We start from the raw sequence: 20,886 nt of genomic DNA, 5'->3' as shown, positions 1-20,886 counted from the left end.
TGCATCTCTCACAGCCGTCACAAACCCCAACACATGTCAATGCTTAAATTGGTGTTGTTCACCCCTGCACTGACCTCTTTACAGTGCTTAAGACATTCTTTTCGTGAGGAGAAAACTACACGTCCTTGGGCACACCTGCCATGACATCTTCTGATTTTTATAGGGACTTGTGTACAGGGTGGCTCAGCACATTCAGTCTTCCAATTGCCATGCTCTATTGTCTACCTCTAGAGCTAAACTTTTTCGTTTCAGACCCTCTGCATAATCTCCTTTTTATTTTTGAGACAGGGTCTCACTCTGTCCCCCAGGCTGCAGTGCAGTGGCGCAATCATGGCTCACTGCAGCATAGACCTCCCTGGCTCAAGTGATCCTCCCACCTCAGCCTCCCAAAGTGCTATGATTACAGGCGTGAGCCACCACACCAGGCCCATAAGTGGTGCTGTCCAGTGAGAAGAATTAGGAGAATGAAGAATCCATAGAGCACTCCCACCCACTGCTGCCCTTGTTCTCTGATCAAACTAATGCTTCCATCTCAGGCATCTGTACCCTGGCAGGTGATATGTTTCTCCACTGCCACCTGGAAGCTCCTTGGAGGCAGTTTGTAGAGATGTGATTTAACCCACAGCTTCCTGATGACCCTTTGTGGGTTGTTCTACCTCACAGTCATTAGGACCAAGGTACAAATCTCCTCCAGTTCTCCTTGTGGCTTTTGGAAAGAGAAGGTTCCAAGGCTCATCCCCAAGAAAAGTCCCCAGGCATCTGCGAATGAGCTTTGGTCATTAAGTGATTCTCTCCTATCAGGAGGGCAGGGACTCACTTACCTCAACCTCCCACCCCGTCCAACATACACCTTCCCAGTGATGGAGGGAAAGAGCTCTCTAGAGGGTGCAAGAGGACAAGAGGAGAAGAGGAAGGGACCTGTTCTTAGTCTGTGAAGTCTCTGGCTTATATGTCAGGGTGAGGGTGGGGACCAGTTTCTGGAGCACAGAGCTTCTTCTGAAGCTGTGAGTAAACCATCAGGAAGGTGGGAAGAAGTTGTGGAAGCAACTTTGGAAATTCCCTGGTACCTCAGAGGTCTAGGTCAGAAGACATGCGTGCCAAGGGAAGGCAAGGAAACCTACTCATAGGTAGTAGGTAGCCAAGAAAATAAAATAGCAGATTAAGCCAGTGTCAGGAAGGTAAGTACCCAAGTGTGTGGATGGACAGGCAGGTAGATGACATGAATACTTGGTCTAAAGGTGTGCAGGGCTGGGCGCTGTGGCTCATACCTGTAATCAGAACACTTTGGGAGGCAGATCACTTGAGGTCAGGGGTTTGAGACAAGCCTGACCAACATGGTGAAACCCTGTCTCCACTAAAAATACAAAAATTAGCCAGGTGTGGTGGCAGGTGCCTATAATCCCAGCTACTCAGGAGGCTGAGCCAGGAGAATTGCTTGAACACTTTGGAAACAATGTCACAAGCTGCGGATATAGTCCACGGTAGAACTGAAACGATGACCTTATTTCCTAGCACTGTGCCTTCATCAACGGGCTTCTTAGCTCTTGGTCTCTAGAGAGAACCCCTCACATACACACATCATGTTGTCTATGCATCAGCTAAGCACAGTACAGCTGGGGCCCCTTGCACACAGAGACCAAGATGTGGAAGGACGGAAGCCAGGCCAGGCAGGGCCAGGGAAGCCACTGCCTCTCATCTCCACTTTGCGCTTCCTGGCAGGAGCAGGAGAAGGTGAGGATCTCAGCCACCTCTGCTGTGGGCCACATGCTGCAGCAACTAAAAACATGTAAGCCTGGAGGCATCACCCCCCAAAATTTTTTCACACTTCTGATATCATTGGTGCTCAGCATTCAGGAAAATAACATGGAAGTGCTCCAGGTACACTGGCTGTCACTTGTCTGGCCACTGCCAGGCCTGATATGTGTCCCCTTTCCTTGAGAGCAGGGCCCCTTCCCTGTGGCCATTTCCATGAGCCCAGCCTTGCCTGTAGGCTCTACATTCACCTCTTTGACATTGTCCTCTGGGTGGCTCTGAACATATCTGCCCTCTCTTTATGACGGAAGGGCTTCCACTCAGCCCCTTGGCTGGAGAGTCACAGGAGTGAGGTTGAGGCCTCCCTTCTCTCCATCCCATAGGCCTGGGGAAAGGCTCTGGCGGTGTGGGCTGACATGATTGGCTGGTCCTCACTCATCCAGCCATTGCTGCGTGCCACGCTCAGCGACCACATGCATGTAGGTCCTGGAGGAAATCTGCAAGTACCTGGTGAGTGAGGGTCTCAGGAGAGGCTGCACACAGTCCTCATGCTGAGCCCTCAGTAGCGGGTTCCGTGGGCACAGAGGGGTGGGCTGCCAGAGAGAGGTTCCTGTGCTCCTTGTTTCTCACTCCTTCACATGAGCCCACTCTGAGAACCCACAGCTGGGGTGCCAGTCCCTGGTTCTCTGTATTTGACTCTCTGGGCATCCAGATCACTGCCTCAAAGGCTGGGGAGGTCATGCCAGGTCCCTGGATGGCAACTGGCCAGAGGTCTTCTGGTTGGAGTGGCAGGGAGAGAAGAGGGCAGGAGCATCAGGCCTCTGGTCAGTTGGCATGGGGTGAAGGGTCTGTGGCTCCTGCAAATTCAAGAACAAGCCAGGGCTCAGGAATCCCTGTTGAAAAGCAAACATTTAAGGGCTAAGAAAGTAGGTTAAGAGCTCAGATGAGTCATTCTAAGGATTTATAGCATAAATCCTTCACATAGGGGGAGCATTTTACAAAGCACTTTTCCATTTATTACCCACGGGCACTTGTCATGGTGTGTGGGAGGTTGGGCGGGATTGCCTTCCACTCTACTCTCAAGAAAGTGAAGCCAGTGGGTGCCAGGTCCAACTTTCAAACCCAAGGCTCCCAGCCCCATGGAGTTGTTTTCTCTCACATCCTGTGGGTTCCCAGAAGCAGTAAACTTCCTGCTGCAGAGGGGTGGGGGTCTGAGTCTGCAGGGTCCAGCAGTCAGAGCTGCCTGAAGATGCACTGCTGCTGCTGGGGACAGTGGGGAGGCCGTGGCTGCCAGGAGGCCTTCTGCAGGACTCCCAGTGGCTCCTCTCCTGGTCAGCACCGCCCATGGCTGTAGAAGGAGAGGTTGCCAGGAAGAGGGTCTCTGCAGAGGGAGTCTAGAAAGTGCAAACATTCCTCCCACATAAGAAACTTTTCATCTTCCTTGAAGCAGAGGGCAAGGTCGCTGGGAGCTGGGGCTGGCGAGGGGCGAGTCAGTAGGAAAGAAAGCTTCAGGAGACCGGCGAGGGTCTGTCATAGCCATTGGGGGAGTAGGACATAAAGCTGGCCAGAGACCACAGGACTTACGGGCAGCACCAAGGACGAAGCAGAGGCCAGGAGCTCATACCCGTCTAGATCCATGAGGCCATGTGGTCTCAGCAGCGCTCAGCCGCCCCACACAGGACAGAGAAGGTGGCAGCTGGACTGAGTCAAGGGGAGTCCTCCTGTGATTGTCCCCAGGGGCAGACGGTGAGGTCAAGGGGATGAGGGATTGCTGAAGTAACTGATGGGATGGGCCATGGAGAAGCAAGTGAAGAGGCTGAGGGGACTCAGGGAGGGTCCTAGGAGGAAATAGAAAGCCTAAGTCCTTGATGTGGCACAGGGCCACTGGGTAACAAGGCGGAGAACAGCAAGCACAAGAAATTGTCAAGGAGGAGACACCAGCCTGCGGCTTCAAGAGGTGGTGTATTACTCATTGCTAAGGAGGAAGAGGGTAATTGGACTGGGATGCTGGAGATGGAGCCCTGGGCTCTAGCCAGCATAGGGCTGCCAGACGTAGCCACCAGCTCTGAATTCTCAACTCCGATTCTGGGATAATATCCTGACTTTGCTGAGCACAGATCTTTTTTTTTATTATCATTTTTCAATAGAGACAAGATCTCCCTCTGTCACCCAGGCTGGAATACAGTAGAGGGATCATAGTTCACTGTAACCTCAAACTCCCAGGCTCCAGCAATCCTCCTGCCTCAGTCTCCTGAGTAGCTAGGGCTGCACATGCATGCCACCATGCCCAGCTAACTTTTTAAGTTTTTAGTAGAAATGGAGTCTCTCTATGTTGCCCAGGCTGGTCTCAAACTCCTGGCCTCCAGCGATCTGCCTGCCTCAGCTTCCCAAAGTTCTGAGATTGCAGGCTTGAGTCACTGTGCCAGAACTATGCATACCTTTGACTTAATAGCAACCTTGACCTGGAGCTCATCCTTTAAAAATCAAATTTTAAAAAAATATGATTTCAAAACCACACATAGTAAAGAATTTGGAGAATACAGAACACCAACACAGAAAAGATTAATACAGAAAATCAATACAGAAGAGAAGTTAGAAATCTCCTGCAAACCTACCACTGGGATTTAGACATGATTAATTTGGGGTTAGCTCTTTCCAGTTTGCCTTTTTTTTTCTTTTTCTTTTCTTTATTTTTTTAATTTTTTTTTATTTTTTGCCTATTCAGGAGCATTTTAGTAATGTATCCTCCAACTTACTGGGGCTTGGAGCTCTGTGACTCAGTTTTCCTGGTTAGAAGATATGATGGCCACATGCCAACAAATTTCTGGAACAGCTTTCATGTGGTTTCCTCATACCTGCAGCCAGGAGGGCTGCATATCTCTCCATCCTAGGCAGTGAGGATCAGAGAGCCGGGTGATGGGTGCAGAGCCATGCAGCAGGCCCATGGGCTCCAGGGTTCCTCACCTTAACCCAAGTGGGTGCCAGAGAAAAATCTCACCTCGAGAGGAGGCACAGACACCAGGCTGCCAGGGCCGTGCACCACAGGTCAGATCCATCCAGAATCTCCCACGAGCTGTTCTCATGCCTCTGTGACACAAAGTCAGAAAAGCAGTCAGTCCCAGAAGAGAGTTTACAACTTGCTTTTTGAGCCAATCAGACCTTTGAACAAAATGTCCTCTTTTCCACAGTGTATCTGTCCTATTCACCTTCAGTTTGGAGAGCTGTTCTGACCTTTCTTAACGAAATGAGTGTCTCCCCTTCTTCGGCGAATAATAAATTCAGTGTCTGCTTTAGACAGCTTTGGTGACCTTTGTGTTCTTCTGTGGCATGAACCTCGCTTTAGTCATCGCTGTGGCCAGTGGATAGCCACTCTCTTCTGAGGGCTGTCACAGAATTCCTCCTTCTGAGAGGTTTATTGGTGATGGGGTAGGGGGTGGTCAGGGGTCCCAAGCCTCCCGGGCGAAGGCCAAGCCCTGCTTTCTTTACCAAGTTGCTCAGAGGTCTCCACTTGCAAATCATTAGCCTCATTGGGTTGGCACTCGTCCACTTGCATTTCTAGCTGGGACATTCTCTTCTATGAAAATAGTTTGTGGATATGACGAGTGGGCAGAGGAGTTTGTTTCTGTTAAGGAGTTGCTGATGGTAGGGCAATGATTCCAACTTCCATTGTTCAGCCAGATTCCTTCATTCCCCAAACTGCTCTGGATTTAGCCTAATCTTGGAAGTCAGAGTCCTGTTTGACTAACGAGAAAAATCAGAACTTCTGGGTAAAGTTACCAGACATTCACTATTGGGAGGAAATAGCTCCAGACTTGGGCTTGCCACTGTCCTTCCTTGCCCCCTCTTGGATGGAATAGTTGGGAACTCTTCCCCTCCCTACCTCCCCAGTCTTCCCCAGGGTGAGAAGAGCTTTTTTATTCCTATTAGCCATGATTTCAAGCCAACATTGAAAACGTTTTGATTTCCTGGATCGTGGGGGAAGCTTCTGTCTGGGCATCCCAGCCTCACATACTGAGTGCCTCTTCGAGCCCTGTGTGGTGAATCAAGTGTGCCCTCCTGAAAGCCTCCTTGACTCCAGGTGCAGTCAGTGTATTTTCTCCTACACTATTGGAATCAGGGCTTCTTGAATCAAACCTGCAAATTTATGCAAACACTATGCTAACATTTTTGACAAAAACTGGCAAAGGAAGGCCTTTTGCAGGTGAAGTGCAGCTAACACCTAATGGCTAGCAGAGGGCTGTTTGGGGTGGGGACTCAGGTGAGAGTTGAAGCAGAGGAGTGGGAGGAAGGAGGGTTGGTTGGTGTCTGCAGCAGTGATGGAAGATGCTGGGGCCTTCCTCCTCCCCTGCCTTCCAACATGGGAGTAACCAGTGAAGGAGCAGACAGAGAGTCAGGGACTCCCTGTCTCTTTTTCACAGTTGAGACATCTTCAGAGCTGGGGTGAGGACTGAATCTCTTAGCCCCTCTTGAGATGCTCCAGATGCCGCATCTAGTACAGAGTATGAGGTTGAGAGGCCCCCATGCCCTCCGGCCTTCCTATGCTATTACATTCACATCATACTCTACCACATCGTCATTCACTTCACATTAAAGCATCTTAATTGTCCCCTGGAAGGTTAAGCTGTGTGGTTCTTACTTTTCTATGATCTGTCTTTATCAAAGAGCCGTTTACCCTTTAAATCTTAACATTGGAAGGTCCTTTAGTGATCACCCTGTGCGATCCCTCTGTTTTATGCATGAGGGGACTAAGACATGAAGAAGTGGTTTACCCCAGTTCTCAGACCCAGACTCCAAACCAGTCATAATCCCGCTAGGTGACATTACTTACTGGACAACAGGCCCCCGGCAATCTAAGTGCCACTTGAGATATCATGGGAGCAAAAACTACTTGTCTTCTTTTAAAGGCAAGCATCTTTAAAAGAGGTACTTTGGGTCAAGAATGATTTTGTAAGTGCACACCCCTGTCACTTCCAGCGAGGGACCCTGGAAGGTAAACGAACAATCCTAACAATGCCCAGCACTCACACCATGCCCTTCCTCTGAGGCGTGCTCTGAAGAACAATCTTGCTTGTCCTTGGAATCATCCTTGTGAAGGTGTGGGAGGGAGGGACCATTATCCTCATCTTTAGAGGAGAATCCAGGCACTGAAAATAGACAACAACCCGCACAGTGGTCAGGCTGGCATTAGGCTCAAGGCCACATGCGTGTTGGCCCTGGCCCATTTCTTGTGAGCTGTGGAGAACCAGTTACCTCCTTAACCCAGGGCCACGGTGTAGCCAAGGGACATCTGGAGGGTGACACTCTTTGCTTTTAGGTCTAGAAAGGGGAGAGGAAACAAGAGAGAAGAGGAAGCAGCAGAAAAAGGGAAGGGAGGAAAGTGGAGATAAAGACAGGGCCTGGCAGGGGCAGGATAGATGCTAATGCCTTGCCACTGCTCTTAATGTCGGCATGTGGAGAGCCTGGCTTGGCAGCTCGGTTACCAGCCTTTAGGGCTTTGATGCCTTCCTGTCATCACCCAGCATTATTGGAAATTCACTAGGGTTTTATATTCAGAAGAAAACAGAGTCCCTCCCCTTCATTTCTGAGCAGGAGTAGCTCCCACTGTCAGCCAGCCTTTTCCTCCCCTCAGAGCACAGTTTATGACAGTTCAAGTTTTGTTCTCTGTTCTGTAAGCTGCTGTTGTGCAAGGGAGGAGAACAGGTACTCGTGGGTGTGCTAGAGCTGAAACGTGTTTATCTGAATCTGAACAGTGGGTGCTTTCACACACACACACACACACACACACACACACACACACAGAGAGAGAGAGAGAGAGAGAGAGAGAGAGAGAGAGAGAGAGAGTGGTATTCAGCACCTTCCCTTAGGGCTGCAAGGCTCCTCATCTCCCCTCCTGCAGCAGCAGATCTGGGCTCCTGTTGAAGACAAGCCCTCACAGCACTTGGGCGGACATCATTTACCAGGCACATCAAAGGTTGGGAAAGATGTGACTAATGAGTCTAGCTTGTGCAAGACTCATCCTCTTACCTCCCTCTCACCATCACATTCCCAGTCCCACTAAAGCATAGGATTCTGGCTGAGTCTTTGGCTAAAATGAGTAGTGGCAACTCCTCTTGTTTAGGCATCCAAGCACACACCACCAGATCCAGCAAGTGCACACCAACTCCACTTCAGCTAATTTATGACTTCAAAGGTGGTCTAGAAAGGAGACCTTTACAACAGAAAAGCTTCCTGGACTGCAGGCAGAGTTGTGCCAATGCATTCAGGCCATAATTCTGATTGCTCCCCATAAGCCAGGAAACTCACTACTCACTATGCCCACCTTGCTGTTTGCCATCACAGAAATGCACTTGAGTTGCTCACCTGCATTGCTACAGTTAAACCACAGGCTGCAGGTGCAGCACTCTTTCCAGGGTGTGCAGGGGAAATGGCATTTGTTATTTGAGTAATGTGTCTCTCTCCATCCCCAGAGTCGGTAAACAAACAAGTTATCCATGGAGCAAGCTCTTCCCTTTTGGCATCTTTCAGTTTTTGAGTGGCAGCTCTGCAATGAGGCCACTGGCCATCCCTCAGCTGTGTAGAGAACAGGCATTCTTGGCCCTTGGAGTCCTGCTGTAGCATTTTCAGGATGCCAAGTTATTGGTGGGGACAGGTGCCCAAAATTCAGCATAACACACCTAAGCCTTATTTCCCTTTTTCTGGACACTTCTTGATTTAGGAATAAAAGCCCCTTCCTCCTCCTGGGCTGGGCTGGCCTGTAAACATCTCAGTCTGAGTTTGCTGAGTGTTGCATTCAGGCCATAATTCTGATTGCTCCCCATAAGCCAGGAAACTCACTACTCACTATGCCCACCTTGCTGTTTGCCATCACAGAAATGCACTTGAGTTGCTCACCTGCATTGCTACAGTTAAACCACAGGCTGCAGGTGCAGCACTCTTTCCAGGGTGTGCAGGGGAAATGGCATTTGTTATTTGAGTAATGTGTCTTTCTCCATCCCCAGAGTCGGTAAACAAACAAGTTATCCGTGGAGCAAGTTATCAGTCTGAGTGTTGCTATATTCAGTTGCTAGTTTCCATTCCATATGATGATGTGTGACAGGACAGCTCACCCTGTGAGTTAGCAAGGGGTTTTAAGTAATATGCTTTCTGATGGAAAGGACGACAAAGATTCCTATTATTCACCAGTGAGCCTGGAGACTGAGCTGGTCCAGTTTTGATGACTGAGCCACAGCAATGTCAATCTCATGTGCTCTGTCACTACTTCCCACTGTGGCTTGACGAAAACAGCCTCAAGGGCCCTGCAGAAGCGCTCCAGCCACGCAGTCAGGAGACTTGCCAACTCAGTCTGTCCAAGGCCTCTGTGACATTGGAACAAAAATAGGTCTGTGTGCTAGCCTCAGCTTCTGCATCTGCAAAGAGAAGTGGTTAACAAAAATTAGGGGTAGCAAGTAATGCTTGCAGCTTTCAGTTATAGACATGCACAGATATTGCTGTTGGTGAAAGCATCCACAGAACACCAGGCAACACGCCACTGAAAGAGAGCGGCATTTTTTTTGCTCCTATTCTTCGAAATGCCAGTGGAGATAAACTGATGCTGCTATTTGTGTTTTCCTGGACTATTTCCTTGTGAAGCCTTCCAGTCATTAAATGCTCACTCCATCTTCTTTCAAAAGTGACTCAGCGTGCGGCTGAGAAGCAGCAGCAGCAGGATCACCTGGGAGTTTGTGAGAATGCGGAACCTCAGGCTCCCCGGCTTTCCTGCTGAATCGGAACGCGCTGTTTCACACTCTCCCAGGTGATTCGCATGTGTTTAACTTTAGAAGCACCCGTCTGAAGTTGTGTTTGTCAAACCTAAGTGAACATCAAATCCCTGCAAGGCTCGTTAAAACCTTGCTGGGCCCCACACCCAAGTTTCTGATTCAATAAGTCTGGGTCAGGGTCTGTGAATTTGCATTATAACATTTCTAACTTTCCTGGCGATGACACCACCTGTCCAGGACCATACTTTGGGAACCTCTGGTAAGTCTTCCTTGAGCAGGTGTTTTGTGACACCTTAATTCCCAGGTCACCGAGAATCTAGAGCATCTCTATAATATGTATGCTGGCTTCTTCAATCTCCAGAATTACTGTGTTCTCTTAATCATCTTTGATCTCTTTCTTGATTTCAGTATGTTTCTCTCTCTTTGTCATTAGGAAGCCCTAGTCTCAGAAAGCCAGTTAGTTCTGTGCTGTGCAAAAATGGGAGGATTTCATGAAAATCCTACTTTTCTCTCCCATGTGGTTGTTCTAAAATTCTACCTGTTTCTTCATCTGGAGTTACACCGCTGGTCCCTGAGGGGCTTGTTACACTCCTCCTCAGAGCTAGTGAACATTGGCGGCTGGTGTGTAATCTTCTGTGCCTGTTATATGTGTGTACATACCTTGGCATTTACATGTAGAAATATGTTTTGGATTTCTTAGGCCGGGCACGGTGGCTCACGCCTGTAATCCCAGCACTTTGGGAGGCCGAGGCGGGCAGATCACGAGGTCAGGAGATCGAGGCCATCCTGGCTAACACAGTGAAACCCCGTCTCTACTAAAAATACAAAAAATTAGCCAGGCATGGTGGTGGGCGCCTGTAGTCCCAGCTACTCAGGAGACTGAGGCAGGAGAATGGCATGAACCTGGGAGGCGGAGCTTGCAGTGAGCCGAGATTGTGCCACTGTACTCCAGCCTGGGCGACAGAGTCTCTCAAAAAAAAAATATGTTTTGGATTTCTTAAGAAAAAATAAGATCATACTACAAGTATTGCTTGGCAACTTCATTTTATTAATTAGTATCATTTCTTGGGGATATTTTAAAATCTATAAATAGACTCTCCATTCTTTTTAAAGCTGCATAGGCTAGGTGTGGTGGCTCACACCTATTTAATATAATCTCAGTGCTTTGGGAGGCTGAGGTGAGAGAATTGTTTGAAGCCAGGAGTTTGAAACCAGCCTGGGCAACATTGTGAGACTCCCCCAACTCTACAAAAAAATAAAAATATTATCCAGACATGGTGGTGAGCACCTGTAATCCCAGCTATTTTAGAGGCTGAGGTGGGAAGGCAGTTTGAGACCAGGAGTTTGAGGTGACAGTGAGCTATGATTAGGTCACTGTACTTCAGTCTGGGCAACAGAGCGAGACCTTGTCTCTAAAAAAAAAAATAAATTGTAATAAAATAAATTATAAAGGGAATTTACATATATATTTTAAAGCTGGTCAGAGGAAATGTAAGAAAAAAAGAAAAATAGCTGTATAGCTATATTTTATAATATGGACATATCATAGTCTATTTAACTATCTACCTATTGATGGCTACTTACATTATTTCCAATATTTTACTATTACCAGAAATATTAAAGTAGCATTCTCATGAGATTCAACTAAGAAGCTGACCTCCAAAAAGGTTGTGTCAATTTATATTACCATCCCTCACATTGAAAGTGCTTATTTCTAACCTCACCAAGGCCAGCTATTATCAGCCTTTTACATTTTTACCAATATATTGAGGCTATCTCATTCCCTAAATGTGCTTCTACCTGCTGAATGCTTGAGGTTAAACACGTCTTCAAAGATTATCAGCCCATTCCATTTCCCTTTTTAGGAATTACTAATTCAGATTCTCTGTCCTTTTTCTATGGGCTTGTCGGTATTTTTTTGCAGATGGGGGACAGTTAGGAGCAATAGCCTGGATATTAATCTTTGGTCTATTTAAAAAGTCGCAAATGTTTTATCCAAGTCTCTCACCTGACTTCTAATGCAGTCCTTCATTTTATCTTTTGTCATATAAAACTTCTAGTTTTTTTTTCAATTTTTATTATTTTATTTTATTTTACCATAAGTTATTGGGGTACAGGTGGTATTTGGTTACATGAGTAAGTTCTTTAGTGGCGATTTGTAACCTGCCCAGACCTTGGGGGAACTGAACAAATGGGGGCGAATGCAGGAATAAAAGACAAAGACGAAAGAATATGTTTAGAAGAAGGAGTCAGGGGGCACCTTGCCTCTAGTGGACAAGAGCCCTGAGCTTTACACAGCCCTCCATATTTATTAGACAAAAGAGATAGCGAGAAGTCGGGGGCTGGTTTTCAGCTGGCGGTTAGATTCACAGCAGGCTTGCAAGACTGCATTCTTTGAACAATAGGTGCTAGATTTCCCAGTAGATAACTTCAAGGAGCCCGGCACCAGGGAGTGAGGCCCTCAGCAAACCTTTTGGCAGCGGGCACAATGTGAGTTTGCTCACATCCTGCATTCATGATAAACAGTTTGCTGTTTGATCATATAGCCTCCAGTGGAATGGTGAGTTGGTCACAATCACTTTGGCCTTTTTGGCTCCCAACATCTCACCTTTGTGTTTATGTATTAATTGAAAGAATGTAAGGCCAGACTGGGCAGCTCTCATTTTCCGATTGATGGTCCATCTGATTTTACAGACTATGAACAGAAGACAGAGACAAAACATTATTCCAGGACCTACATATAAGATGTTAATGTGGTGCCTTAGATAGGTCCAAGGGTTGAGGCTCTCCAGGCCTTGCTGGAATTCGGTCCAGTCTTCTAAAGAAGGCTGAAAGTCTTATGTTTGCCCATTTAAATTAATAATGTTGTTTTGTAATTCACCAATATCAAAGGTGACGTTGGATGTGAAAGCTCCCTGCAAATGGGCTTTCACAAGGTCCCACGGATACTCACTTCGGTTGTATTCTAAGTTGGTTACACAAATATGAGTGTGATTAAAAGGACAATGCAATTGCTGCTGCAACTGCAAGCTTTGTGCTTGTTCCCTTAACCATAGAACCATGGATTTCAACACTGCCACTTCAGTTTGTAGCTCAGTGTTAATTCCATTCTGAAGTAGCCACGCTTGGTTGGCTGTGTGTGTCCAGTTCTCCACATACTGAGCTGTTTGAATAGCAATATGCAAAGCTACATAGGACATCACAACAGAAGACATTAGTGTGACCAAGGAAACAGTAGCAAAAATTATCATGCCTAAGGCTCTATGGACGTGATGAGTAAGCTAAGTTAGAAGAAGTTTCACAAAATGCAAAGCAGGTGTGGCAGCCCAAGCCTCGGGCAGATTAACAGGAATCCATAGCCCAGGGATACGACCTAAAATCATCAAAGGAGGCCAGGCGTGGTGGCGGGCGCCTGTAGTCCCAGCTACTCAGGAGGCTGAGTCAGGAGAATGGCGTGAACCCGGGAGGCGGAGCTTGCAGTGAGCCGAGATCGCACCACTGCACCCCAGCCTGGGTGACAGAGCAAGACTCCATCTCAGAAAAAAAAAAAAAAAATCATCAAAGTAGAGATATTTTTTGTTGTTGTTGTTTATTTCAATTTCATTTAGTTCTGGTATGATCTTGGTTATTTCCTTTCTTCTTCTGGGTTTGGGTTTGGTTTGTCCTTGTTTCTCTAGTTCCTTGACGTGTAACCTTAGATCGTCTGTTTGTGCTCTTTCGGGCTTTTTGATGTAGGCATTTAGGGCTGTGAACTTTCCTCTTAGCACCGCCTTAGCTGTATCCCAGAGCTTTTGATAGGTTGTGTCATTATTGTTATTTAGTTCGAAGAATTTTTAAATTTCCATCTTGTTTTCATTTTTGACCCAATGTTCATTGAGGAGTAGGTTATTTAATTGCCATGTATTTACGTGGTTTCAAAGGTACCTTTTGGGGTTGATTTCCAGTTTTATTCCACTGTGATCTGAGAGAGTGCTTGATATAATTTCAATTTTCTTAAATTTATTGAGGCTCATTTTATGACCTATCATATGGTCTATCTTGGAAAAAGTTCCATTGCTGTTGAATAGAATGTGTATTCTGTGGTCGTTGGATGAAATGTTATGTATAGATCTGTTAAGTCCATTTGTTCCAAGATACAGTTTAAATCCATTGTTTCTTTGTTGATTTTCTGTCTTGATGACCTGTCTACTGCTGTCAGTGGAGTATTGAAGTCCCCCACTATTATTGTGTTGCTGTTTATCTCATTTCTTAGGTCTGTTTGTAATTGTTTAATAAATTTGGGAGCTCCAGTGTTAGGTTCATATATGTTTAGGATTGTGATATTTTCCTATTGGACAAGGCCTTTTACCATTATATAATGTCCCTCTTTGTCTCCTTTAACTGCTGTTGCTTTAAAGTTTGTTTTGTCTGATATAAGAATAGCAACCCCTGCTTGCTTTTGGTGTCCATTTGCATGAAATGCATTTTTCCACGCCTTTACTTTAAGTTTATGTGAGTCCTCGTGTTAGATGAGTCTCCTGAAGGCAGCAGGTAGTTGGTTGGTGAGTTTTTATGCATTCTGTGGTTCTGTATCTTTTAAGTGGAGCATTTAGGCCATTTCCATTCAATGTTAGTATTGAAATGTGAGGTACTGTTGCATTCATCGTGCTCTTTGTTGCCTGCCTACTTTGTTTATTTTTGTTTTTTTGTTTTTGCTTTTTAACTTGTATTTTTGTTTTATAGGGCCTTTGTGATTTATGCTTTAAAGAGGTTCTGTTTTGATGTGTTTCCAGGATTTGTTTCAAGATTTAGAGCTCCTTTTAGCAGTTCTTGTAGTGATGGCTTGGTAAGGACAAATTCTCTCAGCATTTGTTTGTCTGAAAACGACTGTATCTTTCCTTGACGTATGATGCTTAGTTTCACTGGATACAAAATTCTTGGCTGATAATTGTTTGGGGAGGCTGAAGATAGGGCCTCAATCCCTTTTAGCTTATAGGGTTTCTGCTGAAAAATCTGCTGTTAATCTGATAGGCTTTCCTTTATAGATTAGGTTACCTGGTGCTTCTGTCTCATAGCTCTTAAGATTCTTTCCTTCATCTTAACTTTGGGTAACCTGATGACAATGTGGTTAGGTGAAGATCTTTTTGCAATGAATTTCCCAAATTTGTGCTTCTTGTATTTGCATGTCTAGGTCTCTAGAAAGGCCAGGGAAGTTTTCCTCAATTATTCCCTCAAATATGTTTCCCAAGCATTTAAAATTGTCTTCTTCCTCAGGAACACTGATTATTCTTAGGTTTGGTCATTTAACATAATACCAGGCGGTCTTGGAGGCTTTGTTCATATTTACTTATTCTATTTCTTTGTCTTTGATGGATTGGGTTAATTTAAATACCTTGTCTTCGAGCTCTGAATTTCTTTCTTCTACTTGTTCAATTCTATTGCTGAGATGTTCCAGAGCATTTTGCATTTCTAAAAGTGTGTCCAAAGTTTCCTGAATTTTTTTTATTGTTTTTTCTTTAAGCTATCTATTTCCTTGAATATTTCTCCCTTCACTTCTTGTATCATTTTTTGGATTTCCTTACATTGGCCTTCGCCTTTCTCTGGTCTCTCCTTGATTAGCTTAATAACTAACTTCCTGAATTCTTTTTCAGGTAAATCAGGGATTTCTTCTTGGTTTGGATCCATTGCTGCTGAACTAGTGGGAATTTTGGAGGGGGGTTGATCAGCCTTGTTTTTTCATATTACCAGGGTTGTTTTTCTGGTTCCTTCTCATTTGGGTAGCCTGTGTCAGAGGGAAAGTCTAGGGCTGATGGTTATTGTTCAGACTTTTTTGTCCCACAGGGTGTTCCCTTGATGTAGTACTCTCCCTCTTTTCCTGTGGATGTGGCTTCCTGTGAGCTGAACTGCAGTGATTGTTTCCTCTCTTCTGGGTCTAGCCACTCAGTGAGTCTACCCAGCTCCGGGCTGGCACTGGGGGTTGTCTGCACAGAGTCCTGTGATGTGAACCATGTATGGGTTTCTCAGCCGTGGATACCAGCGCCTGTTTCAGTGGAGGTGGCGGAGGGTGCAGTGGACTCTGTGAAGGACCTTAGCTTTGGGGATTTAATACTCTATTTTTGTGATGGTTGGCCTTCTGCCAAGAGGTGGCATTTTCCAGAAAGCATCAGCTGTACTAGTGTGGCAAGGGACCAGTGGTGGGCAGGGGCCCTAGAACAAACTGAAGGGTTGGTCTCACTCCCACCATGCCCCACCACGAACAGCCCTGAGTCTGTTTCCGGGTGGAGGGCAAGTCGGACTTGAAAACTTGCCCCAGGCTTTCCACCTCCCAGCTGCCAAAGAAAAGGGCTTTAGTTCTTCCCCCGTCTGTGAAGTCTGCAAGCCGGATTCACGCCCTTCCCCGAGTTCTGGCCAGGAGGCTTCTTGCCCCGTGCAAATTGTAACAAAGTTCAGCTAGAGAAGTCCTCCTTCCTATGGAGTTTTATCTCCTGCTCCTCTGCCACCCTCCTGATGGATCCCTGTGGTACCAGGCAGGAATGGGCTGCTTGGGTATCCAGCGAGCTCCCAGCGCCTTTCTGCTGCTTCCTCTACCCTTGTATTTTGCTTGGCTCAGCTCTCTAACTTGACTCACCTCCAGGTAAAGTCAGAAACTTCTCCAGTGAGGGGTGTGTGTTCGGGAGAGGAGGGTCTCCCTTTCCCACTTCCACATTGGGGCACTCACAGTATTTGAGGGTCTCCTGGGTCCTACAGGAGCAGTCTGCTTCTTTCAGAGGGTCTGTGGGTCCTCTCAGGATTGCTAGTCTGTTCTTGCAGTCAATCTGGAGCTAAAATTCACAATGCAAGCCTTCGCATGCTGCTCTGTTTGGAGCTGCAATCTAGTCCTGCCTCTCGTCTGTCATGATCCCTCCACCAAAGCTTCCAGTTTTTATATAATCTATATAAAGTTTCAGTTGAATTCATGCATTGCTACCAATCAGTTTCTTCTATCTGCATTATTTGGAGGAAAAGCACTCTCTTGGATGTGAATGAAAAGAATAGAGAAACTTGTAAATAAAATTGAGTAGGGAAATAATGAGATAATGTAGCTCCCACCTTCCCTTTTCCTTTTTCTGTAATAGCTCCTGTATCTTTTAGCATGGAATTTTGGTTTGGTGGGAGGTTTAGAAAAATAAGTGCACAGGTTTAGGTGATTTGCATATTTTATGAAAGAGTTGAAATGAAGTCAAACGTGAATGCTAATGGGAGACATTTCTCCAGGGGCCTCTTGTTTCTGCACATATTACAAGCAGCAGAGCTGGCTGTCTTTGCTCTGGATAATCTTTTCAAGGATGTTTGCATGAGATCAGCCTTGGAAAACAGAGGTAGTGTCTCCCTCCGGAGGAAATGACTGGTTTGTTTGCTGTTCGGTACAATAAAGATCATGTTTTCCCCTAGGCAAAGCTCAGCAGGTTTACTTATGGCCCATAATAAAAGATTGGGGTTTCCTAAACTCAGGGCTCCTCTCCTGTAACACACCCTGTATATGGAGTTGTCACCTGGCTCTGCTTGTCTCCCATGAATTGGGACTTGGGGAACCAGCACAAGAAAATGATGGTGCTCAGGCTACTGCTATTGCTATGAGTAATTAACCACCCTTTATCTCTAACCCAGGAATCTCACATCTTCTGCCAGCATCCTGAAACTATGGCAGACTCACTTGTTAACTTTGCAAATAAGGTCAAATTTCAGAACCTTCACAGCTCCTGATAGTCACCGTGTAATAGAAGATTAAAAGACAAGCTCAGCTCTTGTTCCAGTCAGCCTCATTCCTCTGCCTACAATACAAAAGTCACTCAATCATATTCTTGTCTTAAATTGAACAGTCCTTACATGGTTAAGAAAAGGAGAAATTCATTGTAAGGAATGTTTACATTTTGTTTATAATTCCTGCAAGTGTAATGTTTCAAAAGGTTTTCCTGTGGCTGAAGTACATTTACCCTGTGTAGCTCTAGAGAAATGAACTTACAAACTGAAAAATTTCAGCTCAGTATATAAAGAAAAACAGATTTTCACAATTAGATCTATCCCAAAGAGAATAAATTTTGAGGTGATAAGCTCACTGCTGGCTTAGATCATCACTTATGGGACCTCTAATGGGGCAGGGATCAGACTAGATGTGTACAAAGATCTCTTCCAACTGAAGCTGCTACTGTGGAGGACGTTGTTTTCAGTGGACTCTCTAATCAGATTTATTTTCATACCAAGAAATGAAGAAGGTGAGCTGGGGGATGCAGCTGGGACTCAGAAGACTGCACGTGATAGACTCATGAGCTGAAGATCTCGTGCTTAGTCTGGAGAAGCTCATCAAGTCTAGCTCACTTTGGAGTAAGTTGGTGCTGGAGAATGAATTCATGCTAACCAAATTCACCAAGAGCCTGATTTACAAATGAGAGAGCCAAGGCCTTAAGTTTAGAGCAAAAGACAAACTTCCAATGACTTTAGTTTTCTTGTCCAATATCTAGGGCACCTTCCCCTCTCCACCTGCTGTGTACACAGGAGAAATAATCACTCCACACCCGACTGAACATTTTCTAACCTTATCACTGTGGCAGAAACTGGCTACTCTTCCTCCTGGGTAGACAGCCAGGCTGTATTTCCCCGCTGCCCCTGCAGTGAGAGGTAGCCATTGGAGCCGGCGCAGGCCAATGGACTCTGCACTGGAGTGACACATGCTGCTTCCAGGCCTGTCCCTCAAACCTCCCACATGTCCTCTGTCTGCTCTTCTCACTTCCAAGGAGTGTGACCATCGTGGAAGCCCCAGGTTAGCAATGGCAGATTGGGAGGCATCGATGGGAGGAACCTGGGTCCCTGACTTAAAGCATCATGGATTTGGACTTTCCGTTATTGAGAAATAAACTTCCATTGTGTTTAAGCCTTTATTTGATTGTTTATAGTTTGTTATAGGAACTGCCATCTTTTCATTAAAACACTGATGCTGCCTCCTGTCCCTGGAATGCTTGTAACCCTGCCCTGCTTCCCCAGGGTAACCCCCACTTGGCCTTTAAGTTCATCTCTGCCGTCACACCCTCCAGGAAGCCTTCTCTGAGCACCCCAATCCCTCCACCAACGGTTTGGTGTCTCCAGCAGAAGCTGCACAGCTGCCCTCTGCCTGCCCTCTCCTTCCTCCTGTTAGAATCCCAAGACTCCCATGCAGCTAGAAGCACTCGTGTGATCCAGTGCCGGTCAATAAGATGTAAGAGGAAGCAGCTGGGCAGAGATTCTTAGGAATCTCCTTTTAAAAAGGAAGAGATTGGCCTCATTTCTGCCTTTTACCCTTTTTCTATGTGCTTGCCTACTTCCTGCCTGGGACTCCTATGCAGCACCTGCGAATGGGGACACATATTACAACTCTTAGGCTGAAACCCACGTGCTCAGGCAGAGTAGAAGGAAGTCCTGGGTTCCTGAAGGCATCATGGAGCCACCATGTCCGCCCTGGGCTACCGACCTCCTTTCTCCTGTTGTGTGGAGAATATGAACCCCGGTGCTTGAGCCCTGTGGTCGGGTTTCTTTTGGGCACAGCTGAAAGTAATCTTAACTAGACGAGCTCCTCTGTGAGTGCTCCCAGGCACCTGGCTGCCCTCCGCGGTGCCTATCGAAACACGCATCGCACTCGCATCATCTGGTTATGTGTCTGTTTCCCTGGCTTGTTGAAGGCACGGGGCAAGCACTCAATAACTGTGGTGACAGGGACGTTGCTGTGTCTCCTCATCCTGGACCTGAGGAAAGGAAAGGTTTCCCTGGAGCACACAGAAAATCCCAGTGGCATCCCCGCCCCATCTCCTCTATCAGTGGAGCATCAGCTCTGCGATCACTGAAGTCTTTCAGGCTCTCACTTCCTCTGATTCCACCTCATAGCCAGTAAATGTCCACACCAAGGAGGATATGAAAGTACGAAACATAGCCCTGGTCCTTCCATCGAGGAAGTCAAGGAATGCATGCAGGACGACAACTAGCACTTGCACTGCACTTCTTATGCCCCAGGTGAAATGCACATAAAATTGACCATTTTAAAGTGAACAATCAGTGGCATTTAGTACATTCACAATGTTGTCCCACCACTCCCTCTCTGTAGTTCCAAAACATTTTCATCATCCCAAAATGAAAACTTGTACCCATGAAGTAGCCACTTCCCATTCTCCCCTCCACTCGGCCCCTGGAAAACACCAATCTGCTTTCTGTTTCCATAGATTTACCTAGTCTGGATATTTCATATAAATTGAATTACATAATATGTGACCTGTGTCTGGCTTCTTTCACTTCACATAATGCTTTTGAGGTTTAACCACATGGTGCCATGCATCAGTTCTGCATTCCTTTTCCTGGCTTAGTAATATTCCATTGTTTGTACATACCACAGTTTGTTTATCCATTCATCCATCTATGGACACAGGCATCATTTTAAGCACTTGAAATATATTAACTCACTGAATCCTCACCACAGAGACAGATGCAGTTATTGTCCCTAAATTATTATAGAGTAGAAACTGAGGCACAAATAACGTGCCTAGGATCACACAGCTATTAAGCAGAATAAGGACTCCAGTCCAGGCAGTCTAGTACCAAAGGCCTTCCTTGTAATCGCTGTGCTTTACCACCTCTCAGAGAACAACCACAGGGACTAAGCAGTCTAGTGAAGCTTCAAATGCTGTACGTTTCAGAGAATGGGGAGGTCCCTGGCTGTCACAGAAGCTTCCTGGAGAAGTAGGATCATGTAAGTTCTAACTCAGGGCAGGTCAGGGTGATGTGAGTGACCAACTCACTCGGAACACAGACATTCATGGGTGTTCAGTAAAACCGGTTCTAGAACCAGTGATGACTTCAGCCCAAGGATCCCACAAGGGAAAGTGCTTGTCTTTGCCTGCACAGCACAGAGCATTCTGGGCAGAGTTCTGGACCCAAGCTTCTTTCAAATACCTTATAAACAGCAACAGAAGCTGGCTGTATCTTCTGTCTGGCTGCATCTGTCTAACAGTTTAGAGAGTGAGACATTTCCTTCCTCTTTAATCCAACTATCCTTGGAAGACTTCCCAAAAAGCAATGCACCTTGGAGAAGTTTAATGCCGTTGAGGAAAGTGGTTTCCAGGAGAGAGGGGAGTCTGTTCCATGAACTGTGATACAAGGGAACATCTTAAACTCTTAAACTAAGTCCTCAGTCTCCTAGGAAATCATTACGATTTTCTTCCTATAGATCAGGGCTCAGGACACCCTACTGCATGCTCTTCACCCCTCCACCAGAGTTCCTAAAGTCCATGCTCACGGATCCTGGGAATCAAGGAGGTTGGAGGATGCAGGCAAGCCTCATCAAGACTGCCTGGGACCAACCCTGCAGTCCTCCTTCCCTAGGCCCACTCAGCCCAGCTGG

General features: G+C 46.2%; 1 long non-coding RNA gene across 1 annotated transcript in view, besides 1 other annotated feature; it reads left to right on the top strand.

Annotated features, from left to right (window-relative positions):
- DDX11-AS1 (DDX11 antisense RNA 1) overlaps positions 1-18,402 on the top strand; it is a 53,085-nt gene extending 34,683 nt beyond the window's left edge. The window contains exon 3 of the long non-coding RNA NR_038927.2: positions 17,136-18,402. This is a non-coding gene — a long non-coding RNA (DDX11 antisense RNA 1). The remainder of the gene's footprint in view (positions 1-17,135) is intronic.
- Positions 10,150-10,379: a silencer, noted in NCBI's record as "fragment chr12:31181720-31181949 (GRCh37/hg19 assembly coordinates)". NCBI's record gives its function as "represses an EF-1alpha promoter that drives an FKBP-Casp9 reporter gene in an ReSE screen in K562 erythroleukemia cells {active_cell/tissue: K562}" and the evidence as "EXISTENCE:reporter gene assay evidence [ECO:0000049][PMID:32094911]".
- Positions 18,403-20,886: the final 2,484 nt, after the last annotated feature.

This window comes from Homo sapiens, chromosome 12, assembly GCF_000001405.40.
Source record: "Homo sapiens chromosome 12, GRCh38.p14 Primary Assembly".
Taxonomy (NCBI): Eukaryota; Metazoa; Chordata; class Mammalia; order Primates; family Hominidae; genus Homo; species Homo sapiens.
This window is presented reverse-complemented; position numbering and strand designations above follow the sequence as displayed.